General features: G+C 49.1%; 3 protein-coding genes, 1 long non-coding RNA gene and 1 other non-coding gene across 12 annotated transcripts, besides 15 other annotated features; 2 read left to right on the top strand and 3 right to left on the bottom strand.

The window, feature by feature from the left end:
- Nucleotides 1–43: 43 nt before the first annotated feature.
- HYPK (huntingtin interacting protein K) lies at nucleotides 44–4,050 on the bottom strand. Of its 2 annotated transcripts, NM_016400.4 has the most exons (4): nucleotides 3,687–3,872; nucleotides 3,284–3,339; nucleotides 2,902–2,953; nucleotides 44–2,760 (listed from the first exon to the last, which is right to left on the bottom strand). In NM_016400.4, exons 1-4 carry the CDS (start codon nucleotides 3,846–3,848, stop codon nucleotides 2,665–2,667), a joined length of 366 nt encoding a protein of 121 aa, NP_057484.4. In that variant the 5' UTR covers nucleotides 3,849–3,872; the 3' UTR covers nucleotides 44–2,664. The 2 variants fall into 2 exon arrangements, with proteins under 2 accessions (NP_057484.4, NP_001186814.1); NM_001199885.1 differs by lacking the exon at nucleotides 3,284–3,339 and having other exon boundaries at nucleotides 1,882–2,760; nucleotides 3,687–4,050.
- On the bottom strand, nucleotides 1,882–12,495 carry SERF2-C15ORF63 (SERF2-C15orf63 readthrough). The gene is made up of 6 exons (NR_037673.1): nucleotides 12,088–12,495; nucleotides 11,388–11,496; nucleotides 3,687–3,976; nucleotides 3,284–3,339; nucleotides 2,902–2,953; nucleotides 1,882–2,760 (listed from the first exon to the last, which is right to left on the bottom strand). It is a non-coding gene; the product is annotated as an SERF2-C15orf63 readthrough (long non-coding RNA).
- Nucleotides 3,596–3,845: an enhancer, noted in NCBI's record as "active region_9328". NCBI's record gives its function as "activates an Ori minimal core promoter by ATAC-STARR-seq in GM12878 lymphoblastoid cells {active_cell/tissue: GM12878}" and the evidence as "EXISTENCE:reporter gene assay evidence [ECO:0000049][PMID:35858748]".
- Nucleotides 3,596–4,453: a biological region, named in NCBI's record as "H3K27ac-H3K4me1 hESC enhancer GRCh37_chr15:44092216-44092916".
- Nucleotides 3,753–4,453: an enhancer, noted in NCBI's record as "H3K27ac-H3K4me1 hESC enhancer chr15:44092216-44092916 (GRCh37/hg19 assembly coordinates)". NCBI's record gives its function as "activates a minimal SCP1, AML or CMV promoter by ChIP-STARR-seq in naive H9 embryonic stem cells {active_cell/tissue: H9 hESC(naive)}" and the evidence as "EXISTENCE:reporter gene assay evidence [ECO:0000049][PMID:30033119]".
- On the top strand, nucleotides 4,251–10,309 carry SERINC4 (serine incorporator 4). 2 transcript variants are annotated; one of them, NM_001258031.2, is made up of 12 exons: nucleotides 4,251–4,586; nucleotides 4,985–5,161; nucleotides 5,334–5,512; nucleotides 5,967–6,046; nucleotides 6,458–6,551; nucleotides 7,115–7,326; nucleotides 7,531–7,626; nucleotides 7,729–7,855; nucleotides 8,244–8,316; nucleotides 8,735–8,783; nucleotides 8,930–9,083; nucleotides 9,258–10,309. In NM_001258031.2, the coding sequence occupies exons 1-12, from the start codon at nucleotides 4,485–4,487 to the stop codon at nucleotides 9,469–9,471; spliced, it is 1,557 nt and encodes a 518-aa protein (NP_001244960.1). In that variant the 5' UTR covers nucleotides 4,251–4,484; the 3' UTR covers nucleotides 9,472–10,309. The 2 variants fall into 2 exon arrangements, with proteins under 2 accessions (NP_001244960.1, NP_001244961.1); NM_001258032.2 differs by lacking the exon at nucleotides 7,115–7,326 and having other exon boundaries at nucleotides 4,944–5,161.
- Nucleotides 4,454–5,154: an enhancer, noted in NCBI's record as "H3K27ac-H3K4me1 hESC enhancer chr15:44091515-44092215 (GRCh37/hg19 assembly coordinates)". NCBI's record gives its function as "activates a minimal SCP1, AML or CMV promoter by ChIP-STARR-seq in naive H9 embryonic stem cells {active_cell/tissue: H9 hESC(naive)}" and the evidence as "EXISTENCE:reporter gene assay evidence [ECO:0000049][PMID:30033119]".
- SERF2 (small EDRK-rich factor 2) lies at nucleotides 8,382–27,385 on the bottom strand. Of its 6 annotated transcripts, NM_001199877.2 has the most exons (5): nucleotides 26,969–27,385; nucleotides 18,937–19,061; nucleotides 12,088–12,495; nucleotides 11,388–11,496; nucleotides 8,392–10,761 (listed from the first exon to the last, which is right to left on the bottom strand). In NM_001199877.2, the coding sequence occupies exons 3-5, from the start codon at nucleotides 12,092–12,094 to the stop codon at nucleotides 10,698–10,700; spliced, it is 180 nt and encodes a 59-aa protein (NP_001186806.1). In that variant the 5' UTR covers nucleotides 12,095–12,495; nucleotides 18,937–19,061; nucleotides 26,969–27,385; the 3' UTR covers nucleotides 8,392–10,697. The 6 variants fall into 6 exon arrangements, 5 of the variants coding, with proteins under 5 accessions (NP_001186804.1, NP_001186805.1, NP_001186806.1 ...); NR_037672.1 differs by lacking the exons at nucleotides 18,937–19,061; nucleotides 26,969–27,385 and having other exon boundaries at nucleotides 8,382–10,097; nucleotides 10,535–10,761; NM_001199875.1 differs by lacking the exons at nucleotides 18,937–19,061; nucleotides 26,969–27,385 and having other exon boundaries at nucleotides 8,382–10,895.
- Nucleotides 8,427–8,926: an enhancer, noted in NCBI's record as "H3K4me1 hESC enhancer chr15:44087743-44088242 (GRCh37/hg19 assembly coordinates)". NCBI's record gives its function as "activates a minimal SCP1, AML or CMV promoter by ChIP-STARR-seq in primed H9 embryonic stem cells {active_cell/tissue: H9 hESC(primed)}" and the evidence as "EXISTENCE:reporter gene assay evidence [ECO:0000049][PMID:30033119]".
- Nucleotides 8,927–9,428: an enhancer, noted in NCBI's record as "H3K4me1 hESC enhancer chr15:44087241-44087742 (GRCh37/hg19 assembly coordinates)". NCBI's record gives its function as "activates a minimal SCP1, AML or CMV promoter by ChIP-STARR-seq in primed H9 embryonic stem cells {active_cell/tissue: H9 hESC(primed)}" and the evidence as "EXISTENCE:reporter gene assay evidence [ECO:0000049][PMID:30033119]".
- Nucleotides 10,150–11,003: an enhancer, noted in NCBI's record as "H3K27ac-H3K4me1 hESC enhancer chr15:44085666-44086519 (GRCh37/hg19 assembly coordinates)". NCBI's record gives its function as "activates a minimal SCP1, AML or CMV promoter by ChIP-STARR-seq in primed H9 embryonic stem cells {active_cell/tissue: H9 hESC(primed)}" and the evidence as "EXISTENCE:reporter gene assay evidence [ECO:0000049][PMID:30033119]".
- On the top strand, nucleotides 10,712–10,812 carry MIR1282 (microRNA 1282). The gene has a single exon (NR_031695.1). It is a non-coding gene; the product is annotated as a microRNA 1282 (primary transcript).
- Nucleotides 11,339–11,668: an enhancer, noted in NCBI's record as "active region_9327". NCBI's record gives its function as "activates an Ori minimal core promoter by ATAC-STARR-seq in GM12878 lymphoblastoid cells {active_cell/tissue: GM12878}" and the evidence as "EXISTENCE:reporter gene assay evidence [ECO:0000049][PMID:35858748]".
- Nucleotides 11,339–12,656: a biological region, named in NCBI's record as "CDK7 strongly-dependent group 2 enhancer GRCh37_chr15:44084013-44085212".
- Nucleotides 11,457–12,656: an enhancer, noted in NCBI's record as "CDK7 strongly-dependent group 2 enhancer chr15:44084013-44085212 (GRCh37/hg19 assembly coordinates)". NCBI's record gives its function as "activates an origin of replication core promoter dependent on BRD2, BRD4, P300/CBP, MED14 and CDK7 cofactors, with strong dependence on CDK7, by STARR-seq in HCT116 cells {active_cell/tissue: HCT116}" and the evidence as "EXISTENCE:reporter gene assay evidence [ECO:0000049][PMID:35650434]".
- Nucleotides 12,389–12,468: a silencer, noted in NCBI's record as "silent region_6389". NCBI's record gives its function as "represses an Ori minimal core promoter by ATAC-STARR-seq in GM12878 lymphoblastoid cells {active_cell/tissue: GM12878}" and the evidence as "EXISTENCE:reporter gene assay evidence [ECO:0000049][PMID:35858748]".
- Nucleotides 14,949–15,448: an enhancer, noted in NCBI's record as "H3K4me1 hESC enhancer chr15:44081221-44081720 (GRCh37/hg19 assembly coordinates)". NCBI's record gives its function as "activates a minimal SCP1, AML or CMV promoter by ChIP-STARR-seq in primed H9 embryonic stem cells {active_cell/tissue: H9 hESC(primed)}" and the evidence as "EXISTENCE:reporter gene assay evidence [ECO:0000049][PMID:30033119]".
- Nucleotides 15,057–15,146: an enhancer, noted in NCBI's record as "active region_9326". NCBI's record gives its function as "activates an Ori minimal core promoter by ATAC-STARR-seq in GM12878 lymphoblastoid cells {active_cell/tissue: GM12878}" and the evidence as "EXISTENCE:reporter gene assay evidence [ECO:0000049][PMID:35858748]".
- Nucleotides 16,383–16,442: an enhancer, noted in NCBI's record as "active region_9325". NCBI's record gives its function as "activates an Ori minimal core promoter by ATAC-STARR-seq in GM12878 lymphoblastoid cells {active_cell/tissue: GM12878}" and the evidence as "EXISTENCE:reporter gene assay evidence [ECO:0000049][PMID:35858748]".
- Nucleotides 27,173–27,382: an enhancer, noted in NCBI's record as "active region_9324". NCBI's record gives its function as "activates an Ori minimal core promoter by ATAC-STARR-seq in GM12878 lymphoblastoid cells {active_cell/tissue: GM12878}" and the evidence as "EXISTENCE:reporter gene assay evidence [ECO:0000049][PMID:35858748]".

The raw sequence follows: 27,410 nt of genomic DNA, 5'->3' as shown, positions 1-27,410 counted from the left end.
AATTCCCTTTGATCTCAGAAACAAGCTCAGGTACTAGCTTGGCTTTAGGTAGCATCTGGATTTATTCCATGACCAAATACAGATGTTTTTGAGAAGACCAAGGTCTTCTCACATCCTTTAAATGTCCCACTGGAAGAATCAAATAGTTTAGTGTCGTACGATAAAAATGAATGCAAATAATTACTATGAGGTGGTAAATACATAAAGATGAACACAGGTACAAGTCACTGTTGTGTGGGATACAATCTAAGAATTATCCTAGAGTCAGAATGAGGGTAAGGCCTTGAAACTCTTGGAGAAATGTCTGTAATTGCCATTTGAGTGTCCTTACAGCAGACTCAGGGGCCGTTGCAGGGTTTTTTTTTTGTTTGTTTGTTTGTTTTAAAGAGACGGCTCTGTTGCCCAGGCTAGAGTGCCTCAGCCTCCCGAGTAGCTGGGACTACAGGCGCCTGCCACCATGCCTGGCTAATTTTTGTATTTTTAGTAGAGACGGGGTTTCACCATGTTAGCCAGGATGGTCTTGATCTTCACTTCGCGATCCGCCCGCCTCAGCCTCCCAAAGTGCTGAGATTACAGGCGTTGAGCCACTGTGCCTAGCTGGGGCCGTCACAGTTTTATAGTTGAGGAAACTAGTTCAACATGTGTGAGTTGGTCCAAGCTGATTTTTTTTTTTTTTTTTTTTGAGATGGAGTTTCACTCTTGTTGCCCAGTCTGGAGTGCAGTGGCGCGATCTCTGCTCACTGCAACCTCCTGGGTTCAAGAGATTCTCCTGCCTCAGCCTCCCTAGTAGCTGGAATTACAGGCGTCCACCACCACACCCAGCTAATTTTTTTTTGTACTTTTAGTAGAGATGGGGTTTCACCATTTTGGCCAGGCTCGTCTCAAACTCCTGATCCCAGGTGATCCACCTGCCTCGGCCTCCCAGAGTGCTGGGATTATAGGCATGCGCCACCACGCCCGGCCCTGATTAACCTTTAAAGTAAAATTACCTTCTCTCTAGGATAGGAAATGGCATGTAGAATGTATTATGGCTTAGAATTTGAATACCAATCAAAACCTTTCATAGGTTTTTTTCGTTTTGAGACAGTCTTGCTCTGTCGCCCAGGCTGGAGTGCAGTAGCACAATCTCAGCTCACTGCAGCCTCAACCTCCCAGGCTCAAGCAAATCCATCTCAGCCTCCAGAGTATCTGGGACCACAGACAGGCACATGCCACCATGCCTGGCTTTTTTTTTTTTTAATTTTAGTAGAGACAAGGTCATGCTATGTTGCCCAGGCTGGTCTGGAAATCCTGACCTGACACAGTCCTCCCAGCCCAGCCTCCCCAAAGTGCTGGGGTTACAGGCATGAGTCACCACACCTGGCCCAACCTTTGATATCTTCTAGTCTTACCATGTTCTAACCCTCAGGTACCTAAATTCTTTTTTTGGTGGTGGGGGGAGCGCGGTAGAGACGAAATCTCACTGTGTTGCCCAAGCTGGTCTCAAACTGCTGGGCTCAAGTGATCGTCTTGCCTCAGCTTCCCAAGGTGTTGGGATTACAGGCATGAGCCACCATGCCTGGCCCCTAAATTCTTTTTTGTTGTTTTGTTTTTGAGACAGTCTCGCTCTGTCACCCAGGCTGGAGTACAGTGGCACAATCTCAGCTCACTGCAACTTCCGCCTCCCTGGTTCAAGCAATTCTTCTGCTTCAGCCTCCTGAGTAGCTGGGACTACAGGCATGCACCACCACGCCTGGCTAATTTTATTTTTTTTGTATTTTTAGTAGAGACAGGGTTTCACCATGTTGGCCAGGCTTGTCTTCAACTCCTGACCTCATGATCCGACTGCCTCAGCCTCCCAAAGTGCTGGGATTACAGGTGTGAGCCACTGTGCCCGGGCTTTTTTTTTTTTTTTTTTTTTTGAGATGGAGTTTCACTCTTTCCCCCAGGCTGGAGTACAGTAGTACAGTAGTGTGATCTCAGCTCACTGCAACCTCTGCTTTCCAATTTCAAGCGATTCCTGCCTCAGCCTCCAGAATAGCTGGGATTATAGGCGCCCACCACCATGCCCAGCTAATTTTTCTATTTTCAGTGGAGACGGGGTTTCACATGTTGGCCAGGCTGGTCTTGAATTCCTGACCTCGTGATCTACCTGCCTCGACCTCCCAAAGTGCTGGGATTAGAGGTGTGAGCCACAGCACCCAGCCAAATTATTTTTTTTTAATCACTCAAAATCAAGCATGTTGTAGGTACCAAAATTCTAACTCAAGGTGGCCTATGAACTGGGTTCATAACCTACATCTATCTATATATATAGTGGCTCCTAGGCAGGTAGCTGGCCTTTTAGATATTCATAAGCTGTCTTGGAGACACATGCCATTTGAGTACAGTAACTCTGCTGAGACTCCAGATGTACCTTGAATACTGTTGAGAGCTAGTCAGATGAATGAGACTGGCCTGCCACCTAGCATCTGCACATGAGGTATTCTTCTACACTGATTTTTCATACAGGTGTGCTAGATTTTAATGGGTCACTTAAATTCAGTTAGTCTCCAACATATAAATTCTCCACAACATAGGATATAGTATACACTCTACTTGACCCAAGATGATAAAACTGAAAAAGACAAAAAAAAATTTTATTGCCATAAATTAATCCAGTAGGTATATTTGAGAAAGCACGCATCAGTTGGTTAGGGCAATAAGCGCCTCTACCACGTTGCCCATGTGTTCCCGCAAACTGCGTTCTGCTGCTGCTCGAGATATCTCCATCTCAGTCATCTGCAGAAAAAAATCATGTTACATAGGTTCCCAGGCATTAATGTGCCACCAAATATACTGACTCCGCTTGTTTCAGGAAACAACCCAAATTAAGCAGAATAGCCTCCCCTCCGCATACACTAGTTAGGCACTACCACTCACTATTAGCTCCAGATCTTCCTTCTTGATAGTGACTTTTGCCAGTTCTTTCTCCCTGCAAAAATATTTAAATATATTAGTCCTCATTCTCAACCAACACCATAAACTCCCAGGAAGGGTCATTCCCAGAAGTGCCCTGTAAATAAATCTTGATAAACCCTTGATTGAAAATAAAAACTCCCACTAATACTCCTTTCCCCTGGAGTCTTGGCAGCAGGTGTTGCCAGGAGGCCTTCTGCTAACAAGAGTAAAGTTGTGGCGCCTAGATCTGCAGGAATTGGTGATAAATTTGAAGAACGGTATAAAGGCTTAATAATGGTTTTTATTTTTGTCTGGGGACCGGGGAGGGAAGAACTGTTAAAGTTGGCTGCCCCTGAAGACTTACCGCTCCTGTTTGGCTTTCTGCTCCCGGGACCTTCTGTCTCCAATCACAGACATGGCCTATGGGAAAGGCAGGTCTAGTTACTGCACCGCTACCCACAATTCCCAATAATCTAAAAGGCCAACAAAACAAGCGGTTCATGCATGGATTCACGATGACAAGTGTTACCAGGTAGCAAGGACTATGTTTAATTCCATTCTATGCACCTGAGGTCCCCTTAAGCCCACTATCAAGCTCCTTTAGGCAAGCGGCGCGCTCCGGTGACCGCTGTTTCCCTCGGCTCTACCCTATTGCCTCCTCCTGCCAACGGGATCAGAACCCCGTCTTGGAGCGCTGGCTTCCAGCTACAGCCTCAGAGCCCCCCTCTGCTCTCAGCCCGCCCCGACATGCTCTTGGCCAACCTTACCGTCTCCAGATTGGAACTCTGGATCTCCTTCTCCTCTGCATAGTCGGTGACCCGCTCCAAGTCCGCCGCACCGCTGTCATGTTTCCGTGGCTTCTCCGGAGGCCGCTCTGGTCCACTGGTCTCAGTCTCCAACTCCAGCTCCACATCCCCCTCGGTCGCCATATCTATTTCACCACGCCGCCGCATAAGCCCCACCTCACGCCGACTTCCGGCAACTGACACAGCTTCCGCCCGGGGAGGAGGCGGGGCTGGCCCTGGGCCACACCTTCTTTCTGCTCCAGTTCTAGAAGCTTCAGGGAGGAAGGCGGTTCGTCTCTCAGACTTCCTTTCGGGTTTGTACAGTGTTTTGTGCGAGGCCTTCTCTCAGACCTAACCCGACACCGCTCCAGCCCACCCCACCGATATCCTTAACCACCTCATAAACTAGGAATAGTCCCCTCAACACATAAACACGCACCCACCCACCTCAGGGAACTCCGTTCAACCTGAATGACGTCTAATCCTAAACCAATAAAGAATGCTAATCCACAGGGGGCCAGATAGACAAACTGCCCCCTAATCTGGAGAGAACAGCCTGAGTGGCCGCAGTGTTGAGGCCCTAAGGACAAAGCTCCTTCACAGGGCATTTGCATTTACCGCAACCTGGAGGTCAGTGTTCTCTTCCGGACGTCTCCATTCTGCCCGGGACCGGGTGCTCAGCCCCAACACAGTGGCAGTCCAATGGGCTGAGGACAGAAGCAACTGCTGCTCTCATCTGCCTTCCATCTGGTGGACCTAAGCCTAATCCCTGGGACAAGGATGGTGGGTGCCAAGGCCGGCCCCAGCCCCGGCACCTCCCTGGGCCTGGCACAGCAGCACAGCGGAGGCAGCAGTGTCCTAGTGAAAAGTCCCTTCTGTCAGGTGAGAGGGTGCGAAGGGGAGAGTGGCCGAAGCTGGGGAGGAAGACGTGCAGAAGCCAATAAAAACGACAGGCCTCTTTTCTCCTCTAATGTCGTTCTGGTTCGTTGCCCCAGGTATAATCTGTAAATCTCTCCCGCCATGTTTCCAGCCCCAGGTGTTTAGGTCGAGAGAAAGGTCAGATATCTCAAGCCTGCTTATAATGAAAGCCCTACTAAGTTGTCAGTGGGCGGCAATCCCAAATGGCTGGAATCAGCTTGAAACAGAACCTGAGTAAAAGGAAGAAAGGGGAAGGGGAAATTTTGGAATTCAACCTCCTGGGTTAACCTCACACATACATTAACGTATGCCTTTCCTCAGCAAGTCTCCACCTCGCTGCCTTGCATCTGCTCTACTCCCAGGTGTGCTGCTGTGGGCCTGCTCCTTGTGCCAGCTGCTGCCACTCTAGGTGGCCCTCTCTCACCGCATCCACTTGCAGCCGCCTGTTCTACATCCTCCTCCATGTGGGGGCCTCAGCAATCTGCTGCCTCCTGCTGTCAAGGACAGTAGTGGAAAGGGTGTGGGGCAAGACACACAGGGTAAGTGAGAGGGGGTCGGGTTGTCAGGTGGGAAGAGATAAAAGGAAAAACCCTAAGATAGAAAAGGTTTCGGTTGGGGGCAGGAGACAAATGAGTGGTCATACCCGTGACAAGTAGGTACCTTTCCATGCATTATGACTTGTCCTGCCATTTCTCTCACACACACTCCCAGATCCAGATGCCCTCGGGGTTGTGTGCCCACCTGTTTGGCCTCTCTGACTGTCCAGTGCTCAGTGGCTCTGGGGCTGTGTACCGAGTATGTGCAGGAACCGCCACCTTCCACCTGCTGCAGGCTGTGTTGCTGGTCCACCTCCACTCCCCCACCAGCCCGCGGGCACAGCTGCATAATAGGTTTGTGTGTACTTTCTGGGTGGGGAGGGGACAGAGGAGGGAAAGTAGACATAGGCTGGGTAAAGGAAATTCCGGGATGAAGTAATAGCACTGTAAAAAGACAGAAAACAGGTTTAAGTCCCTGCTTCTCGTGTACTTGCTGTGTAACCTTGAGCCAGACTTTGTGCTTCTAGCATCTAAAATGGAGGTAACAGTGGGGTTATCTTGGTAACACAATCCTTTATAAACTGTAAAACATTGCCCAGATGCTATTAAGTATCTTTGAGTTAGAATTTGGAATAAGGTGCAGTAGGCCTGTCCCAACCCCCTCTCATTTGGGATTGGTTCCTCCTTAGTTGTCTCGTCTGTCCTCTTTCCTATATTTTTGGTTTCTCTTTTGCCTTTCCCCATAGGCACTCTTCACTGTCCTTTGCCTTTTCTCCTGAGTCTGTTTTTCTTTCTCCCTCCTAACCAGCTTCTGGCTCCTCAAGCTGCTGTTCCTGTTAGGTCTCTGTGCTATTGCCTTCTGCATTCCTGATGAGCATCTCTTCCCAGGTACTCTCCCTCCCACACTCTTGGCAGGAGTAGGCTAAGTTTTCTAAGATAACAAGTGGGTAAGAAGAGGAGTAATGGCCGGGTGCAGTGGCTCACGCCTGTAATCCCAGCACTTTGGGAGGCTGAGGCGGGCGGATCACGAGGTCAAGAGATCAAGACAATCCTGGCTAACATGGTGAAACCCCATCTCTACTAAAAATACAAAATATTAGCCGGGCATGGTGGCACGCACCTGTAATCCCAGCTGCTCAGGAGGTGGAGGCAGAAGAATCACTTGAACCCGGGAGGCAGAGGTTGCAGTGAGCTGAAATCACACCACTGCACTCTAGCCTGGGTGACAGAGCAAGACTCTGTCTCAAAAAAAAAAAAAAGTAACAATTTGACATTTTTCCACTGGTGCCCATCTTGCAGCATGGCATTACATTGGCATCTGTGGAGGCTTTGCATTCATCCTACTGCAGTTGGTGCTTATTACAGCTTTTGCCCATTCCTGGAACAAGAACTGGTAAGGGGCACATAACCCTAAAGGCTTTTCCTGGGGAGGTTTCTAGTATTACTACATGGAAAGGGCTGGGCAAAAGGCACGGCAGAGCACTGGTCCCACAGCTTCCCACTGAGCAGTATCAAAAAAGCTTAGGAATGTGATGACTGCGTGGGCCAAGTAGGATGGCTAGTCACACCAGTCTTCTGAGAGCAGGGGAGTAGTTGGTAATGGGTAAAAGAGTTGGAGCTCCAGCTGGGCACGGTGGCTCATGCCTGTAATCCCAGCACTTTGGGAGGCCGAGGTGGGTGGATCATGAGGTCAGGAGTTTGAGACCAGCCTGGCCAACATGGTGAAACCCCATCTCTAGTAAAAATATAAAAGTTAGCTGGACATGGTGGTAGGTGCCTGTAATCCCAGCTACTCAGGAGGCTGAGGTAGGAGAATCACTTGAACCCAAGAGGCGGAGGTTGCAGTGAGCTGAGACCACACCATTGCACTCCAGCCTGGGCAACAGAGCAAGACTCCCAACTCAAAAAAAAAAAAAATGCTGGAGCTCCAAGCCATTGCCCACTTTCCACCCTTAGGCAGACAGGTGCAGCTCAAGACTGTAGCTGGTTCCTGGCTGTCCTGCTGGCCACCCTAGGATTCTACAGCATGGCAGGTGTGGGAGCTGTGCTCCTATTCCACTATTATACACACCCAGCTGGCTGCCTGCTTAACAAGATGCTCCTCAGTCTGCACCTTTGCTTCTGTGGCCTCATCTCCTTCCTCTCCATCGCTCCTTGCATCCGCCTCAGTGGGTACATGTCCTACAGCATTCCAGGTTTTGGGGGCCTTAAAAGCATAGCAAGTTTCATTACCTCCCTAATCTCAATTATTTGATAAAAGAATCTCTGCTTCCCTATCCCCACCAAAGGATGGGGAGACAGAAGTACAAGTGGGGGTAGAAATGGAGGAAATTACCAGCCTGTAGACTAAAGCAATTATACTTACTCCCCAGAGCAACCCCGCTCTGGCCTCCTACAAGCTTCTGTCATCAGCTGCTATATCATGTATCTGACTTTCTCTGCACTGTCCAGCCGTCCTCCAGAGAGAGGTAAGGGACAGGACCTGGATTCTCCATGCTAAGACCTTTTTTTGCCCCTGCCAAATACCTAGCTCATTGTTAATACCCATCTCTTCTGTTGTCCCTTCCCAGTAATCCTTCAAGGACAGAATCACACCCTGTGCCTGCCTGGCCTGAGTAAAATGGAACCCCAAACACCAGATATCTCTCTAGCAATGCTGAGTGCTAGCATCATGTATGCTTGTGTGCTTTTTGCTTGGTGCGTAAAGGTGTCAAGGGTGGAGGTATGAAAGGAGGGTGCCCAAGACAGGGAAGGATGGTCAGGACAATGTCTGGGACCATTATTTAAAGTTTAGAGCAAGACTAGAGTGAGAAAAGCTCCCCACAAACAGGGACAAATTCTAAGAATAGTACTTTGTCAGATGATCTGTATGAGATGAAGGGGGTGGGGGGAATGACTTGAGAATTTAAAATATGTCCAAAGACCTTAGGGCTCTCACATGAATAGAATTCTAAATCTTTGGTGGAAAAGGGCACAGGGAGTATGGTACCCTTTTGAGGATTACCAGTATGGACCAATTGGTAGTAAATGCCCCCAGATAATCCCTATTTAACTAAACCAGCTTAAGAACTCTATTCTTTCTCAGCAATGAGGCCTCCTACCTGGCTGAGGTATTTGGACCCCTGTGGATTGTCAAGGTTTACAGCTATGAGTTTCAGGTGAGGATAAAGAGCTCCATATCCCCAACACCCTCCCTCCCCCACACAAAGACACACACACATCCTACCAACCTCTACCCAGAATGCTCAGATTATAGCTGCTGTTACCTTTTATTGAGTACCCACAATGTGCTAGGCAACTGTGCTAGATACTTTTACATAATCTCATTTAATTTAACCCTCACAACAACCCTGTGAGGTAGGTATTTGCTCCATTTTACAAATGGAGAAATCGAGGCACAAAAGATTAAACATCTTACCAAAGTCTGCACAGCCACTTATATGCTGGAGCTAGAATTTGAACCCAGGTGTGCCTCCACTTTTTAATACTAGACCAATCTTTTCACGGGGGAAGTTTCCTAGATTAACACCCTCACATCTTTTAAGACCATTCCAAAACCTGCGTTCTGTTTTGCAGAAGCCCTCACTGTGTTTCTGCTGCCCTGAAACAGTGGAGGCAGACAAAGGTGAGTGCCAAGTGAGGAACCATAAGAAGTGGTAGATCTCTGTGGAGTGCCATAAGAACCCTCAAGAGCCTTAACAAAGGTAGTTGGGGGAGAGGGGAAGAGGTGTTTCAGCAGCTCTGCTCCCAGCAGCCATTTCCTCTCTCCAGGGCAAAGGGGTGGGGCTGCGAGGCCAGCTGACCAAGAAACCCCTCCAGCTCCTCCAGTCCAAGTCCAGCATCTTTCCTACAACTATTCTGCCTTCCACTTCGTCTTCTTCCTTGCCTCACTCTATGTCATGGTTACCCTTACCAACTGGTTCAGGTAAGATGGAGTGGGCCTTAGATACTCTCCTGAAGAGCTAGCTATTTTAAGGAAAGAGCAATTCAAGGCCATTCCAGACACACATGGGTCTGCCATTATATTTGGTGAGGAGGTAGAACAGGTCTAAAAGCTAAGGCCCTTCATATTCTCTAACCAGAGCCTTTGGTTACACAGCTATGAGGGAGCAGAACTGGAAAAGACCTTCATCAAGGGTAGCTGGGCCACCTTCTGGGTCAAGGTTGCCTCATGCTGGGCCTGCGTACTCCTCTATCTGGGGCTGTTACTGGCACCACTCTGTTGGCCCCCCACCCAGAAACCCCAGCCCCTTATCTTGAGGCGCCGCCGCCACCGCATCATATCCCCAGATAACAAATATCCTCCAGTCTAAGTCCTTTTCACAAACTGGGGTTCCCCTGACATTGTACTCCTAGAGTTGGCTCAAGGGGAGCTGTCCAGCCCAGCTCAATACCTCAAGGACACACAGGGAGTTATCTCCGTTTGGGCTGAAGTCAATACTATGAACTGGAAGAAGTGGTCAAACACAGTCTAATGTGCTGGGCAGAGTGTCTGACTCACTGGAGCTACTGTTACATCTGCATCCCAGCTCAAGAGCCTAACACCCAAATCAGCAGCTCAAAGAACCACCGCTGATCCCAGCAGACAGTGTGGCACCAGCCCTTTCCTGGCTCTTGGGCTGGAAGTGGGGGTGGGGAAAGACCAACAGGGACTGAAGACTCGGCTCTGCCCTTGGAGAAAGGAAAATAAGGAGTTCAGCCCTGGGCACACGGATATAAGAAGCCCAGAACCACAGAACAAACCAGGGCATAGAAGAAAGGAGCACAGAGGCTACCCCAGGTTTTAATCCTGATTTTGAGGTCAAGGGAAGCGGGAAGACAAAACCACCCTCATTCCATGAGGAATGACAGAAGAGAAAGTGAACGCTTGACAGCAGCTGACCACGGGAAGTCGGTGAGCAGCAGGATTTTTTGGCCAACTTTCAAGCAGACGAACAAACTGAGGAAGAATGAGGAAAAGAGGCATAAACACAGATCTTGCAGCATTCACTCTTAGGCCAACTCCATCCTAGAGATGGTGTTCAAGGGTGGGGAACAAAAATCACAGAAAAGAAGTCTCTATGGTTCTTAGAGGATTCCTCTACTGCATATCCGGAGTACTTGTTTGGTTGTCATTGTATAATAAAGGCTTCTTCTGTGATGTTTCACTTATTAAGTCTACATACCCACAATCTGAATCTAAAGAGTTCTCCCTTTTTTGGTGGGAAAGGGCAGTCATTCTTCCAACCCCATCCCCCCAAGTCCCCAGTCAAACCAGGCGCTCAAGGAATTACAAAGCTACTTTTAATACTTTGGGGTGAGCCCCACAGGAATAAAAAACACTGGGAAGGGGTAACCCCCTCACCCCCGGGAGTGGCCCAGGGGGAGAGAGGCTACCTGAGGGGAAGGAAGCACAAAAGGGACCCGCTGCAGACTCAGGGCAAAGGGAATGCCATCGGTGCTGGGACCTGTGAGCACTACAGGAGGAAACGCGAGCGTGGTGGGACTGGCTCCAGGCACACAGGCGAAGGGCAAGAGGGTTGGACACGAAGCCACAAAGCTACTTGGGTTCCTCCTTCTTCTCGTTTGCCTTTTTCTGCTTCTGCTGCATGATCTCCGAGTCCCTGGGGGTAGAGATGATGGGGCACTGGGAGGTACCAGAGGGCAAAAAGGACAAGATGCAGGGGGATGAAGGGCACAAAGGATAAGATGGAAGTGGATGGGACTAAGTTCAGCGTTTGGCTGCTGTACTCCCACCCTAGGAGAACAAGAGGAAGAGAGCTGAGGCTCAAAAGGCGACCAGTCTCCATCTGGCTGTTGCCCAAGGGGTCAGAAGTCTGGTGACACAGGCCCAAGGGTCTCTATTCTGTATTGAGGACCACACCCAGCAACACCAGTGAGGAGGTTGGGAGAAGGGAGGAGAACCGAACAGCAAGGAGGGCCAAAAGTACTGGGCTGCCGTAACCACAACTGTATTTGAAATGTGAAGCTCCCTGCCCTTGCCCTTAAGGTCAGACCCAGGGACGCTCAGAAATCAGACTGAGGGCAGGCGCCCGCCCCCGTCCTTTCCTGTAAGGCTGTGAGCTAACAATTTGGAGGGTGGGGAGGAAATAAAACCCTAGAGGAAGCAATGCACTCTGCTCCTCACGACTAGTCCACATTCAAGCCCTGAGGTAGCTCTCTTTCCTTCTATAACCCTTGGTCTAACCCAGGTCTCCACCGTCCCTTTCCCTCCCCTCCCTGGGGCTACCTCTGCTTGCGGGCGGCAGCAGAAAGCCCGTCATCTCGGCGCTTTCCCTTAACCGAGTCGCTCTGCTTTTTCATATTCTTCTGGCGGGCGAGCTCACGCTGGTTACCGCCTAAGGAAAGAAAATTAAAGGTGAGACGCGGGGGCCGCTCTGCCCACACACCGGCGACCCTTCTACCCCAGCGCGGCCAGCAGCAGGATCCAACACCACTTCAATCTCCGGGCCCCGACAACGGCCCATCGAGGCCCAGGCTGCTTGGGGTAGGGGGGAGTGGCGAATCTGCCACGGGCCAGGTCAAAATACGGACTAGAGAAGGGAGGTCCCAAGGGGCCAGCTGGAGGCGTGTTTTGGGGCGGCGTGGGGCCCAAACAGCTGGCAAGGTGTGTGTGGACGGTTTGGGTCTCCGTGGGGGATGGGCTGGCTTGTGGAGTGGGGGCTCTGGGCCTATCACAGGGGCGCTGGCCTTCTCCTTACACCGCGGAAGATCCGGGAGGGCCTATGCCTAACCCGGGAGGGTGGTCCCGTGAAGTAGCCGTGGGCAAAGGGCTCGATTTCCGGGCACCGAGTGTGAGGGTGGCCACAGAGCGCGCCCAGAGAAACGCCTTGCTAGGGAAGCTACGGAAGGTCAAAGCCGGCGCCTCGCCGGTGGTGTTTAGGGTGAACGGAAAGAAAAGGGCAAGGAGAAGGGGGCTCGGTGCTCACGGGTCATGGCGACGGCAGCGGCTCCAACCTGCCTCCGTTACGTCCCCTCGTTCTGTCGGACGTTGCAGGTCCCGCCCCTTCTGGCAACGTAGCACAGTCGTTCCTTTCCTCCCCGCCCCTTCGCGCCCGGGAGCCGGCTCCCATTGGACAAGAAAAAGCACGTGGATCCACGGGTCGTGCTTGAGCCGGGGTGGGTAAGTGGCGGAGGGTCGCAGGCGGAGCGCTCAGCGTGGGGCGGGGCTTCCCGAGTGAGACGTAGGGACGGGCCTGGAGAAACTAGGCCGGGTCACGTGGGCAGGTTGGGGGTGGAGGGGTGCGGCTGGCGATGTGGCGCTCCCGCGGGCTCGAGCACGTGACCGTGCAGAGTGACCTCATGCGGGGACAGTTTGGGGTACTGACAAAGTCGCCCTGAAAGAACGCCCGTAGACAAGAGGGCGGGGTTTCAGCCAGTTCTGTGTTACGAGTACTCTACTACTAAACTTGTGCTTACTTAGGACCACCTCTCAGCCACTTATTTGGACACGAGTTGTTCACAGCTCGCTTAAAATCAAGTACAAACACAACTTCAGAAACCCGCTTCTACTCCCATTGTCCCCTTCCACGCCCCTTCACTGTAGAAAATCGCAGCAACATCTGGTATTTCCTAAAACTCTACCCTGTTCGTTTTCCCCCAGAAACTTTAAATGTGAACATGCAGCTTGGAAGTATTGGAGGACTCCAAAAGTCACAGACTATGGAGTTGGATCAGTGGCTGAGATTAGATAATTCACATATTCGCTTTTCCCCTCTGGAGCTTTTCTTACTGTACCATCGCCACCAGCCACCCGGTTTTGTATTAAGACCCTGGAGGGCCGGGCGTGGTGGCTCACGCCTGTAATCCCAGCACTTTGGGAGGCTGAGGTGGGCAGATCAGAAGGTCAGGAGTTCGAGACCAGCAGCCTGACCAACAATGGTGAAAACCCTAAAAATACAAAAAATTAGCCGGGCGTGGTGGCGCGCCTGTAATTCCAGCTACTTGGGAGGCTGAGGCAGGAGAATCGCTTGAACCCGGGAGGCGGAAGTTGCAGTGAGCCGAGATCGCGCCATTGCACTCCAGCCCAGGCGACAGTGCGAGATCCCGTCTAAAAAAAAAGTTAATAAGAATTAGCCGGGCGTGGTGGCGGGCGCCTGTAGTCCCAGCTACTCAGGAGGCTGAGGCAGGAGAATGGCGTGAACCCGGTAGATGGAGCTTGCAGTGAGCCGAGATCGCACCACTGCACTCTAGCCTGGGCGACAGAGCGAGACTGCATCTCAAAAAAAAAAGAGTTAATAAGAAAGGCTGGGCAAGGTGGCTCACGCCTGTAATCCCAGCACTTTGGGAGGCAGAGGCGGGTGGATCACGAGGTCAGGACATCGAGACCATCCTGGCTAACACGGTAAAACCCCGTCTCTACTAAAAATACAAAAAAAAAAAATAGCTGGGTGTGGTGGCAGGCGCCTGTAGTCCCAGCTACTTGAGAGGCTGAGGCCGGAGAACCGTGTGAACCCAGGAGCAGCAGCTTGCAGTGAGCCGAGATCACGCCACTGCCCTCCAGCCTGGGCGACAGAGCCAGACTCCATCTCAAAATAAATAATAAATAAACAGTTAATAAGAGACACCCAAGCTGGAGTGCATTGGCGTGATCTCGGCTCACTGCAACCTCTGCTTCCTGTGTTCAAGCTATTCTCCCACCTCAGCCTCCCAAGTAGCTGCGATTACAGGCACCCGCCATCATGCCCGGCTAATTTTTGTATTTTTGTTTTTCTGGAGATGGGATTCCATCATGTTGGCTAGGCTGGTCTGGAACTCCTGACCTCAGGTGATCCGCCCTCCTTGGCCCCCCAAAGTGCAAGGATTACAGGTGTGAGCCACGGTGCACAGCCACAATTGGGTATATCTTGATGAGCACAGCATATTCCTATAATCATGAAAGATACAGAGAAAAAAGCTCTCTCACACTTTCTCTCTCTCCCTCTCCCTGTCTGCCTCTCTCTCTCTAATATCCATATATGTATTTATATGTCTGTCTATATATATGAATTTTTGGTTTTTTTTGAGACAGTCTTACTCTGTTACCCAGGCTGGAGGCTGGAGTGGTATGCTCTCGGCTCACTGCAACCTCCACCATCTTGTATTCAAGCGATTCTCCTTTCTCAGCCTCCCGAGTAGCTGGGATTACAGGCACCCGCCACCACGCCCGGATAATTTTTTTTTTTTTTTTTTGAGATGGAGTCTTGCTCTGTCGCCCAGGTTGGAGTACAGTGGTGCGATTTCGGCTCACTGCAACCTCCACCTCCCAGGTTCAAGCAATTCTCCTGCCTCAGCTTCCCGAGTAGCTGGGCCTACAGGTGCGTGCCACCACGCTCGGCTAATTTTTGTATTTTTTAGTAGAGACAGGCTTTAACCATGTTGGTCAGGCTGGTCTCAAACTCCTGACCTCAGGTGATCCACCTGCCTCGGCCTCCCACAGTGCTGGGATAACAGGTGCAAGCCACTGTGCTCGGACTGTATTTTTTTTTAGTAGAGACAGGGTTTCACCATGTTGGCCAGGCTGGTCTCGAACTCCTGACCTCAAGTGATCTACCCACCCCAGCCTCCCAAAGTGCTGGGATTACAGGCTTGAACCACCATGCCCAGCCTATATATGAAAACTGATCATGATAATAGCTTTAAAGGAAAATAACAGATTCCACGCAAGGATGATATTCAAAATGTTTCGCAGTGCACACAGCTTAAGCACTGACCCATAAAAACAGATGTCAGTGTAATTTGAATGAAGACTCTGTGAACAATTCCACCTGGTATGAAGTAACTAAATAGTACTGCTGGTGCTATGAAGGGAGTACACCTGTGGACTCTGTAGACTTTAATTTTGATTAGGGAGGTGAAGTAAGTGATATTTGAGCTAAAGCAAAAAGATGAGAAATTAGCCAAGCCCAGGAGGGAAGGGCAGGGAGAACATTTCAGGAGGGAACAGCACGTGTGAAGGCCCTAAGGCCCTCCTCCCTCAGGTCATCCCATCAAGAGCCACAGGATTATTGTGTAGGTAAAGGGCAAGTCACTAATGCCTAATGAGCAGGGTGGTGTGAAACTAGGTCAGATAGGGAGGTAGGGTTGTGACAAGATCCAAGTTACTACTGCTAATATAACTACTAGCTAACATCAGGTGGGTTTTTATTTGGTACATTTAGTGTACTTTTCTTTTTTTTTTTTTTTTAGACAGAGTCTCACTCTGTCGCCCAGGCTGGAGTGCAGTGGCGCCATCTCGGCTCACTGCAAGCTCCGCCTCCCGGGTTCACGCCATTCTCCTGGCTCAGCCTCCCAAGTAGCTGGGACTACAGGCGCCCGCCACTACGCCCGGCTAATTTTTTGTGTTTTTGGTAGAGACGGGGTTACACCGTGTTAGCCAGGATGGTCTCGATCTCCTGACCTTGTGATCCGCCCACCTCAGCCTCCCAAAGTGCTGGGATTACAGGCGTGAGCCACCGCGCCCGGCCCTAGTGTACTTTTCTTATTTGAGCCTTACGATGACCTTTGGAGGTGTCATTATCCCCCTCCTACTGATTTAGAAACCTCGGCCCTGGCAGGTTAAATAACTTTCTCAACGAAACTGAGATAATAAGGGGTGGAGCTGAGAGTCTAACCCAGCCTGTGCTCTTCATTAGCATAGTGTAAGCTTTGAAAAGATCACTTTACCAGTAGAGAATGGATTACAGCAGATGAATAGAAATGAGGAGACCAGTCAGGAGACTATCACAGGCAACAGGCTCTAGGTCTCAGTTTAAATGTTACCTCATGGAGGGTGCAGTGAGCTATGATCACGCCACTGCACTCCAGCCTGGGTGACAGAATGAGACCCTGTCTCAAAAAACAAACAAATAAATAAATATTACCTCAGAAGTGGTTCTCTACAAGCAAGGCACTAAAAAGCTGGTTGAAGGCTGGGCACAGTGGCTCACGCCTGTAATCCCAGCACTTTGGGAGACCGAGGCGGGCCGATCACGAGGTCAGGAGATCAAGACCATCCTGGATAACACAGTGAAACCCTGTCTCCAGGTTGGGCATGGTGGCTCATGCCTGTAATCTCAGCACTTTGGGAAGCCGACAGGGAGGATCCCTTGAGGCCAGGAGTCTGAGACAAGCTTAGGCAATATAGTGAGACCCCGTCTCTACAAAAAATTTAAAAATTAGGCTGAACGTGGTGGCTCATGCCTGTAATCCCAGCACTTTGGGAGGCCTAGGCAGGCAGATCTCTTGAGGTCAGGAGTTCAAGACCAGTCTGGCCAACATGGTGAAAACCCATCTCTACTAAAAATACAAAAATTAGCCAGGCATGGTGCACATACCTTGTAATCCCAGCTACTCGAGAGGCTGAGGCTAGAGAATTGCTTGCACCTGGGAGGAGGAGGTTGCAGTGAGCCATGATTGCACCACTGCACTCCAGCCTGGGTGATAGAGTGAGATACCATCTCAAAAAAAAAAAAAAAAAAACTAAAAATCTAGCCAGGTGTGGTGGTGTGTGCCTATAGTCCCAGCTACTCGAGGGTGTGAGGTGGAAGGATGGCTTGAGCTCAGGAGGTTGACACTGCAGTGAGCTGTAATCATGCCACAGCACTCCAGCCTGGGCAACAGAGCAAGACCCTGTCTCAAAAAAAAAAAAAAATTCTGGCTGGGCAAGGTGGCTCACGCCTATAATCCCAGCATTTTGGGAGGCTGAGGTGGGCAGACCACCTGAGGTCAGGGGTTCAAGACCAGCCTGACCAACATGGTAAAACCCCCGTCTCTACTAAAAATACAAAATTAGCCTGGCATGGCGGCGCATGCCCGCAATCCCAGATACTCGGGAGTCTGAGGCAGGAGAATCACTTGAACCCGGGAGGCAGAGGTTGCGGTGAGCGGAAATCGCACCATTGCATTCCAGCCTGGGCAGCAAGAGTGAAACTCTGTCTCAAAAAATAAAAAAATTCTTCCCCTCCAGCCTATACTCCAAGAGTGGTACTGAATGGCTAAGTCAATCAAAGTAAACTAATCCCTTTTAATATTGATTGGTTTAAGAACCCAGGCCTGGCCGGGCGTGGTGGCTCACGCCTGTAATCCCAGCACTTTGGGAGGCCGAGGCGGGCTGATCATGAGGTCAGGAGATCAAGACCATCCTGGCTAACACGGTGAAACCCCGTCTCTACTAAAAATACAAAAAATTAGCCAGGCGTGGTTGCAGGCGCCTGTAGTCCCAGCTACCTGGGAGGCTGAGGCAGGAGAATGGCGTGAACCCAGGAGGCGGAGGTTGCAGTAAGCCGAGTGGAGCGCCACTGCACTCCAGCCTGGGCCACAGAGCAGACTCCATCTCAAAAAAAAAAAAACAAAAAAACGAACCCAGGCCTAAGCAGATTATTTTGTGGTATTCACCTGGTAACAGTTATTGGTTCAGGAGTGAGCATGTGGCCTAAATTAGCCTGATCAGACCAAAGAGAAGGACTTTTTTTCCATTGCTAGGGTGGTGACAATGCTGTTTCCCGTTGACATGAATGAGGAAACACATAGCCCATACTGCTCCTGGCAGCTCTAGTCTATCACCTAGAAGAGAGCCAGCCTTAGGTTGAAGCAAATGAGTAGCAGAAAGAATCTTGGTTCTTGGTCATGCTGTTGGACCACTGGATACCTCAACTGTAACATTTGTTCTACATTGAGTTTCCTGGTGTGGGAACTACCATATTGTTTTGTTGGTTTAAGCTACCTTGAGTCAGATTTCTGTCACTTCAGCCAAATACTTTTAATCAAACACACACAAGAGAAACAGCATATACCAAGGCCCTGAGAGGGGGATAAGCTTGGATAATTAGATGAACTTAGGCCTTACATAATGAAATGGTCCAGTCAGATTATCTTAAAGTGTAGGCAGCTCTTTCCATGCGTACCAAACGTCAACCAGCTTTTTTTTTTTTTTTTTTTTGAGACAGAGTCTTGCTCTGTGGTCCAGGCTGGAGTGCAGTGGCATAATCTCGGCTCACTGCAAGCTCCGCCTCCTGGGCTCATACCATTCTCCTGCCTCAGCCTCCCAAGTAGCTGGGACTACAGGCACCCGCCACCACACCTGGCTAATTTTTTGTATTTTTAGTAGAGACAGGGTTTCACCGTGTTAGTCAGGATGGTCTCGACCTCCTGACCTCATGATCTGCCTGCCTCAGCCTCCCAAAGTGCTGGGATTACAGGCGTGAGCCGCTGTGTCTGGCCTTCAACCAGCTTTTTAGTGCCTTGCTTGTAGAGATGAATATAGAGCCAAAGATCACCAAGCGTTGGAGAAAACAGTCCTAACATAAAAATAGACCCCAAAAAAACACAAGCAGAAAATTCAGTCTCATGGCTGGGCATGGTGGCTCATGCCTATAATCCCAGCACTTTGGGAGGCCGAGACGGGCAGATCACTTGAGGTCAGGAGTACAAGACCAGCCTGGCCAACATGGTGAAACCCAGTCCCTACTAAAAATACAAAAATTAGTGGGGCGTGGTGGCATGCATCTGTAATTCCAGCTACTTGGGAGGCTGAGGCGCAAGAATTGCTTGAACCCAGGAGGCGGAGGTTGCAATGAGCTGAGATCAAGCCACTGAACTCTAGCCTGGGTGACAGAGCAAGTATCTGTCTCAAAAAAAAAAAAAAAAAAAGAAAAAGAAAATTCAGTCCCAGAGGATACAGAAACAATTCAGTTGCAAGATCACAAGAAAATCGGAGACACAGGACTATAAATAGTATTCTTTGAGAGAGGGTATTGAACAACAATAGGGAGTTTATAAAAACAGATATTCAGAAAACAGCCAGGAGTGGTGGTACGCACCTGTAGTCCTTAGCTACTCAGGAGGCTGAGATGGGAGGATTGCTTGAATCCAGGAATTCAAAGTTGTAGTGAGTCGTGATCTCGCCACCGTACTCCAGCATGGGTAACAGAGCAAGACTATGTCTCTAAAAAAAAGGAAAAAATAAAAGAAAGAAAGAAACATTCAGGCGGGGCGCGGTGGATCACGCCTGTAATCCCAGCACTTTGGGAGGCTGAGGCAGGTGGATCATTTGAGGCCAGGAGTTGGTGACCCGCCTGGCCAACATGGTGAAACCTCATCTCTACTAAAAATACAAAAATTAGCCGGGTGTGGTGGTGGGCGCCTGTAATCCCAACTACTTGGGAGGCTGAAGCAGGAGAATAGCTTGAACCTAGGAGATGGAGGTTTCAGTGAGCCGAGATTGCTCCACTGCACTCCAGCCTGGGCAGCAGAGTGAGACTCTGTCTAAAAAAAAAAAAAAAGTAATAAATAAATAAATAATGGCAGAGCACAGTGGCTCACGCCTGTAATCCCAGCACTTTGGGAGGCTGATGTGAGCGGATCACCTGAGGTCATGAGTTCAAGACCAGCCTGGCCAACATGGCAAAACCTTGTCTTTACTAAAAATACAAAAATTAGCCAAGCGTGATGGTGCGCGCCTATAGTCCCAGCTACTTGGGAGGCTGAGGCGGGAGAATCACTTGAACCCGGTAGGTGGAGGTTGCAGTGAGCCAAGATTCAGTCATTACACTCCAACTTGGGCGACAGAGTGAGACACCGTCTCAAAAAAATTAATTAGGGCCGGGCGCGGTGGCTCACACCTGTAATCCCAGCACTTTGGGAGGCTGAGGCAGGCGGATCACGAGGTCAGGAGATCGAGACCATGGTGAAACCCTGTCTCTACTAAAAATACAAAAAATTAGCTGGGCGCAGTGGCGGGTGCCTGTAGTCCCAGCTACTCGGGAGGCTGAGGCAGGAGAATGGCGTGAACCCGGAAGGCGGAGCTTGCAGTGAGCCGAGATCGCGCCACTGCACTCCAGCCTGGGTGACAGAGTGAGACACCATCTCCAAACAAACAAACGAATTAATTAATTAAAATAAATAAATAAAACAAAAATAGAGGGAGGTCACAGAGTGCCCAACCCAAGAAATGAGAAAAGCTCTACATCACCACACATCAGAGTGTCAGAATTAAAAAGATCCTAATGGCTTCTGAGATAAAAAATAGTTCATATACAAAGGATGAAGAATCAGAATGGCTACAGACTTGTCAGCAGCAACACTGGAAACGAGAAGACAATGGGGCAATGTTATCAAATACCTGAAGAGAATAGGCTGGACTCAGTTGTTTATGCCTGAAATCCTAACACTTTGAGAGGCCAAGTCAAGAGAATCACTTGAGACCAAGACTTTGAGACCAGCTTGGGTAGGGAGACCCATCTCTACAAAACTTTTAAAAATTAGCCACATGTGGCCAGGTGCGGTGGCTGATACCTGTAATCCCAGCACTTTGGGAGGCCAAGGTGGGCGGATCACAAGGTCAGGAGTTTGAGACCAGCCTGGCCAACATGATGAAACCTCGTCTCTACTAAAAATACAAAAAAAAAAAAAAAAAAAAAAAAAAAAATAGCTGGGCGTGGTGGCACCCGCTTGTAGTCCCAGCTACTCCAGAAAGCTGAGACAGGAGAATCACATGAACCCAGAGGTGGAGGTTTCAGTGAGCCAAGATCACGTCACCACACTCCAGCCTGGACGACAGAGGAAGATTCCATTTCAAAAAAAAAAAAATTAGCCAGATATGGTGGTGTGTGCCTGTAGTCCCAGCTACTTGGGAGGCTGAGGTGGGAGGATTGCTTGAGCCAAGGAGGTTGAGGCTGCAGTGAGCTATGATTGTGTCACTGCACTCCAGCCTGGGCAACAGGGCAAAATTCTGTCTCTTAAAAAAAATTATGAAGCCAGGCTTGGTGGCTCATGCCTGTAATCCCAGCACTTTGGGAGGCCGAGGCCAGTGGATCACTTGAGGCCAGGAGTTCGAGACCAGCCTAGCCAACATAATGAAGCCCCGTCTGTACTAAAAGAATATACAAAAATTAGCCAGGCGTGGTGGCACATGCCTGTAGTCCCAGCTACTCAAGAGGCTGAGGCACAAGAATTGCTTGAACCCAGAAGGCAGAGGTTGCAGTGAGCCGAGATCATGCCACTGCACTCCAGCCTGGGCAACAGAGTGAGACTGTCTCAAAAAAAAAGTTGGCCAGGCATGGTGGCTCACGCCTGTAATCCCAGCACTTTGGGATGCCAAGCTGGGCGGATCATGAGGTCAGGAGATTGAGACCATCCTGACCAATGTGGTGAAACCCTGTCTCTACTAAAAATATAAAAATTGGCTGAGTGTGGTGGCGTATGCCTGTAATCCCAGCTACTCGGGAGGCTGAGGCAGGAGAGTGGCTTGAACCCGGGAGGTGGAGATTGCAGTGAGCTGAAATTGTGCCACTGCACTACAGCCTGGTGACAGAGTTAGACTATGTCTCAAAAAAAAAAAAAAAAAAGCCAGGTGTGGTGGTGCGTGCCTGTAATCCCAGCTACTCAGGAGGCTGAGGCACGAGAATTGCTTGAACCCAGGAGGCAGAGGTTGCAGTGAGCCGAGATCACGCCACTGCACTCCAGCCTGGTGACAGAGCGAAGACTCCATCTCAAAAAAAAGAAAAAAAAAAGTTATGAGAATAAAATAAAGGTATGCAAAGTCTCAAAGGATTTGTCCAAAAGCTTCCTGAAAAGAATGCATGGTGGATAAATCCTTTGAGGCTTTGCACCAAAATGAGGGAGTAAGCCAAGAAAAAAGTTACAGGATCCAGGAAAAAGTGTATCTGACACAGGAGGTAAGTGAAGGAAATCCTCCAGCTGAGATAGAAGGGAGATCCCAGGATAATAGCTTTGCAGCCGACCTAGAGAACAATCATTTCAGATTGGAGCAGGAGTATGGAGGGCTCTGGAGCCATATATCTAAGAAAAAATGGAAACTGATAAAATTGATAAATTATCTGATTGTATTTGGTTATACTAAGAGGAGAGTTATACTCCTAGAAGAGGGTATGAGAATGAATTGGTAATAAGTACATAGGTAACTAAGCAAACAAAAAAAATGCATAATTATTAATTGGTGTAGAGGAACATACAAGAAGGAAAATGTGAACATAATATGGTAAGTGTCACAGCTTGCAAATAACATTTACATACTCCTAATAATAGAAACATTCAATATTGATATAACAAAAATAACATTACTACATTAGGAGGATGGAGAGAGAAAGTACATGCATATTTTGGGGGCAGATGAGAGTTAAATCCTCATTTTAAAAATAGAAGTAGGGTCGGGCATGGTGGCTCACGCTTGTAATCCTAGCACTATGGGAGGCCAAGGCGGGCGGATCACCTGAGGTCAGGAGTTCAAGACCAGCCTGGACAACATGGTGAAACCCCATCTCTACTAAAAATACAAAAATTAGCGGGGCACAGTGGCATGTGCCTGTAATCCCAGGTACTCGGGAGGCTGAGGCACCAGAATTGCTTGAACCCGGGAGGCAGAGGTTGCAGTGAGCTGAGATCGCACCACTGCAGTCCAGCCTGGGTGACAAAGCAAACTGTGTCTCAAAAAAAAAAAAAGAAGAAGAAGTAGGACCAGGTGCGGTGGCTCACACCTGTAATCCCAGCACTTGGAGAAGCCGAGGCAGGTGGATCACTTGAGTCCAGGAGTTCGAGACCAGCCTGGGCAACATGGTGAAACCCCATCTTTATTGAAAATACAAAAATCAGCCAGGCATGGTGGCATGCCTATAGTCCCAGGAGGCTGAGGCAGGAGAATCGCTTGAACCCAGTAGGCAGAGGTTTCAGTGAGCCGGGATTGTACCATTGCACTCCAGCTTGGGTAACATAGTGAGACCTTGTCTCAAAAAAAAAAAAAAAAAGGAAAAATGCAGACATAAACAATAAGTTTTTCTTTTGTTGTTTGTTTGTTTGTTTGTTTTGTTTGTTTTTGAGACAGACCTTGCTCTATCTCAGCTCACTGAAACCTCTGCCTCCTGGGTTGAAGTGATTCTCCTGTCTCCTCCTCCCGAGTAGCTGGGACTAAAATTAGTCACCGCTCCCAGCTAATTTTTGTGTTTTTAGTAGACATGGGATTTCGCTATGTTGGCCAGGCTGGTCTCGAACTCCTGACCTCAAATGGTCCACCTGCCTCGGCCTCCCAAAGTGCTGGGATCACAGGCGTGAGCCACCGTGGCTGGCCAACAACTCAGAAGCTTTTCAATTGAGTGCTGTTCTGAATAGTGTGATAAAATCTTGTGTCCTCCCTCTCCATCCCACCCAGGATGGCAATCCTTCCTTTGTCCAGTGTATCCACACTGTAGGCAACACCCACCCACTAATCACTTAGTAGCCATCTCAGTTATCAGAGCGTATCACAGTGTTTATATGCAAGCAACCCTTATTTTACTTAATAATGAGCCCAAAATGCAAGAGTAGTGTTGCTGCCAATTTGGTTTTGCCAAAGAGAAGCCATCAAGTGCTTCCTTTAAGTGAAAAGGTAGAAGTTCTCAATAAGGAAAAAAAAAATCTTATGCTGAGTTAGCTAAGATTTAAGGTAAGAACAAATCTCCCCTATTCGTGAAATTGTGAAAAAAAGAGAGAAAAACTCATGCCAGTTTTGCTGTTGCACCTCAAACTGCAAAAGTTATGGCCACAGTGCATCATTAAGTGCTTAATTAAGACAGAAAAGGCATTACATTTGTGGATGGGAGACATGAACAGAAACATGTTCTGATTGTCATTATTCAGGTTCAGTATTATCTGCAGTTTCAGGCATCCACTGAGGGCCTTGGAACTTCCCTGAAGATAAGGGTAGACTACTGTATGAGGTATCTACAGTAGTCAAATTCACAGATACAGAAGGCAGAAGGGTGGTTGTTGCTAGGGGCTGGGAGGAGGGGGAAATCGGGAATTGTTAAATGGATATAGAGTTTCAGTTTTCCAAGATAAAGAGCTTTGGAGATTGGCTGCAGGGCGATAGGATAGGCGATACTTAACACTACTGAACCATACACTTAAAAACAGTCAAGATCGCAGGGCGCGGTGGCTGACGCCTGTAATCCCAGCACTTTGGGAGGCCGAGGTGGGCGGATCACGAGGTCAGGAGATCGAGACCATCCTGGCTAACATGGCGAAACCCCGTCTCTACTAAAAAAAATACAAAAAATTAGCCGGGCGTGGTGGCGGGCGCCTGTAGTCTCAGCTACTCGGGAGGCTGAGGCAGGAGAATGGCGTGAACCTGGGAGGCAGAGCTTGCAGTGAGCCAAGATCGCACCATTGCACTCCAGCCTGGTTGACAAGAGCCAAACTCTGGCCTCCAAAAAAAGAAAATAAATAAACATTTTTTAAATTTGCAAAAAACACAGGGGTTCATAAAGAAAAACAATTATATTCACATATAATTATCAAAATATTAAAATGTTTATGATGTAACTGATTTTTATCAATGTATTAAAGATCTAACAGCAAGTCTAATATCAATTATAATTACAAAGTGTGCTGAATGCAAACAATATTTAGATGTATCTTCAACACTTGTAATGTAAAATGAAAATATCTGTTATTTCTATTAGTAATAACATTGCAGTTACTGCCAGTACCAGTGATTTGTTGCCTACATTCATAATTAAAGGAGATGCTAAATTTCTGTTAAAAGTTAGTGAAAATACAGATGTAATTTTGGCTGAGCATGGAGACTCATGCCTGTAAATCTCAGCACTTTGGGAGGCTGAGGTGGGAGGATCACTTGAGGCCAGGAGTTTGAGACCAGCCTGGGCAACATGGCAAGATCCTGTCTCTACAAAAAATTTAAAAAATTGCTAGGTATGGTGGCACGCTCCTGTAGTTACAGCTATGAAGGAGGCTGAGGTGGGTGGACTGCTTGACCCCAGGAGTTCGAGGATGCAGTGAACTATGATTGTGCCACTGCACTCCAGCCTGGGCAACTGAGGGACACCTGCCTCAAAAATAAATAAATAAATAAATATGTAATTTTTTTTCCCTTCCAAGTTCACAGATTCCCTGAATTGTATGATCTGTAGGCCTAGGTTTAGAATCTCTGCTTCTCTAAGCCTCAGATTTATCATCAGTCCTTAGTGTTTGACACATTCCTAACTTATTCACTCTCTCACACTTACAGGCAACTGTTTCACACTATTTTCACACCTCAACCCCAATCACTCCTCCCTCATTCTCTCTCTCAGTTGCTTCCTACTTCACTGAGAAAAATGGAAGCAATCAGAAAAAAATTTTCAGACTCCCACCACATCTACCTAACCTCTACACTTACACCCACCTTCTCTGCCTGTGGCCTGTTACCATAAACGAACTGCCCACACTCCTACCTTTAGGCTTTAGCTAATCCTGAATAGATCTCATGACCTCAAACCTATTCAAGGGCACTACTGCAGTAAATCTCCTACACCATCAAAATTTTGGAGATGTTCTAAAAATTATTTCCGTCAACATGGAACATGCTATTTCTCCCATCTTAAAACTTTTTCTTGATCCTATTTCCTCCACCATGACTCCCATTTCTCTGTCCCCGTATTCAGCAAAACTCAGGTTTCTTTTTGAGATGGAGTCTCACTCCAGCCTAAGCTGGAGTGGAGTGGCGTGATCTCAGCTCACTGCAACATTCACCTCTGGGGCTCAAGCGATTCTCCTGCCTCAGCCTCCCAAGTAGCTGGGACTACAGGTGTGCGCCACCACACCTGGTTAATTTTTTTGTAGTTTTAGTAGAGACAGGGTTTCACCATGTTGCCCTGGGTGGTCTCGAACTCCTGAGCTCAGGTAATCCACCTGCCTCAGCCTCCCAAAGTGCTGGGATTACAGGCATGAGCTACCGCACCCAGCCTCTTTTTTTTTTTTTTTTTTTTTTTTTTTTTTTTTTGAGATGGAATCTGCCAGCGCGCCTGGCCTTTTTTTCTTTTTTTGAGACAGGGTCTCTCTCTGTTGCTCAGGCTGAAGTTCAGTGGCGAAAACATGGCTCACTGCAACCTGATTCATGGATTCAAGCGATCCTCCTGCTTCAGCCTCCTGAGTAGCTGGGACTACAGGCATGCACCGCCATGCCCAGCTAAGAGACCAGCTTTATCCATTACCACAACTGTTTATCAGATTAGGATATTGCCGCAGAGAAACAGAAATAGCACAGATTTTAAAGATCAACTTTATTGAAGTATAATTTACATACAAATTTTATGTGTATTAGCCGGGCGCGGTGGCTCATCCCTGTAATCCCAGCACTTTGGGAAGCCGAGGCGGGTGGATCACGAGGTCAGGAGATCAAAACCATCCTGGCTAACACGGTGAAACCCCATCTCTACTAAAAATACAAAACATTAGCCAGGCGTGGTGGTGGGTGCCCGTAGTCCCAGTTACTCGGGAGGCTGAGGCAGGAGAATGGCGTGAACCCAGGAGGCGGGGCTTGCAGTGAGCGGAGATCGTGCCACTGCACTCCAGCCTGGGCGACAGAGCAAGACTTCGTCTCAAAAAAAAAAAAAAAAATGTATTTTTTTTTTATGAGTTTTGACAAATGTATAGGTAATTTTATTTGTAGTAGAGGACGTTAAGGTTCCCGGGGATTGTGCAGGTCCAGGGATTTAACAGAGGGATCCTGTTTAGGAAACAGGACAACATCGGGGCTCTTGGGAAACATAATCAAACAGGAACAAGTGGAGACACCAAGGGCTGGCCAGAGGTTGGTGCTGGGGTCTCAGTGCACCAGGATCTGGCCCTCTGGAATGCCTGGCGACTTCATGGCAGCTCCTGGCCCTCCTCAGGGAGCGGTCTCACCACTCTGACGCGTGTTTAGGCCACGAGGTGAGACCTAGGACTGGGTTCTGGCTCTCTGCCCTGCAACTTTCCTGCCACTACCCGCGCCCGTATCCCTGCCCACCAACTGGGGGCGCTCCAGTCGGTGACAGCCAACTTTCACTGCTGCCACCACAACCGCAGGGCCCCAATTACCTCTCTGTTAGAAATCGGTTTCAGAGCGGTGGAACCGCGGGCGGGAAAAAGCCCAGGCGCTGTCTCGGGTGCCCCTTCGTGTCAGCCATCCTCTGGTCTCTCGGGTCTCCGAAGCTCGGGGCTAACTGGGCGCGAACCGCTGAGCCCGCCTACCAACCAGGCCCTTTCTCCCGCCCCTCTGCGGCTGAAACCCTCAAGGGGTTGCAGGTTCAGCTTTCACTTAGAGACAGCAACTCCAAATTCAGGGTCGCTGGGGAAACTAAGGCAGGACTGGGGACTCTGAGTGAGAGGTCAGACGCTGGTCGCGGACTCTTTCTCCCGAGAACTGGGGATAGCTCTTCCGATAGCCCAAAGCGATTCATGCGGATCCTAGAAGAAAGCGCCGAGGTCCGGGCGGTTGGCCGGGGAGAGCGAAGCGCCGCCCACGCGGCTGGGAAAGCTT

Source organism: Homo sapiens, chromosome 15, assembly GCF_000001405.40.
Source record: "Homo sapiens chromosome 15, GRCh38.p14 Primary Assembly".
Taxonomy (NCBI): Eukaryota; Metazoa; Chordata; class Mammalia; order Primates; family Hominidae; genus Homo; species Homo sapiens.
Note: the sequence above shows the minus strand (reverse complement) of the source record. Positions and strands in the feature narration are given on the sequence as shown.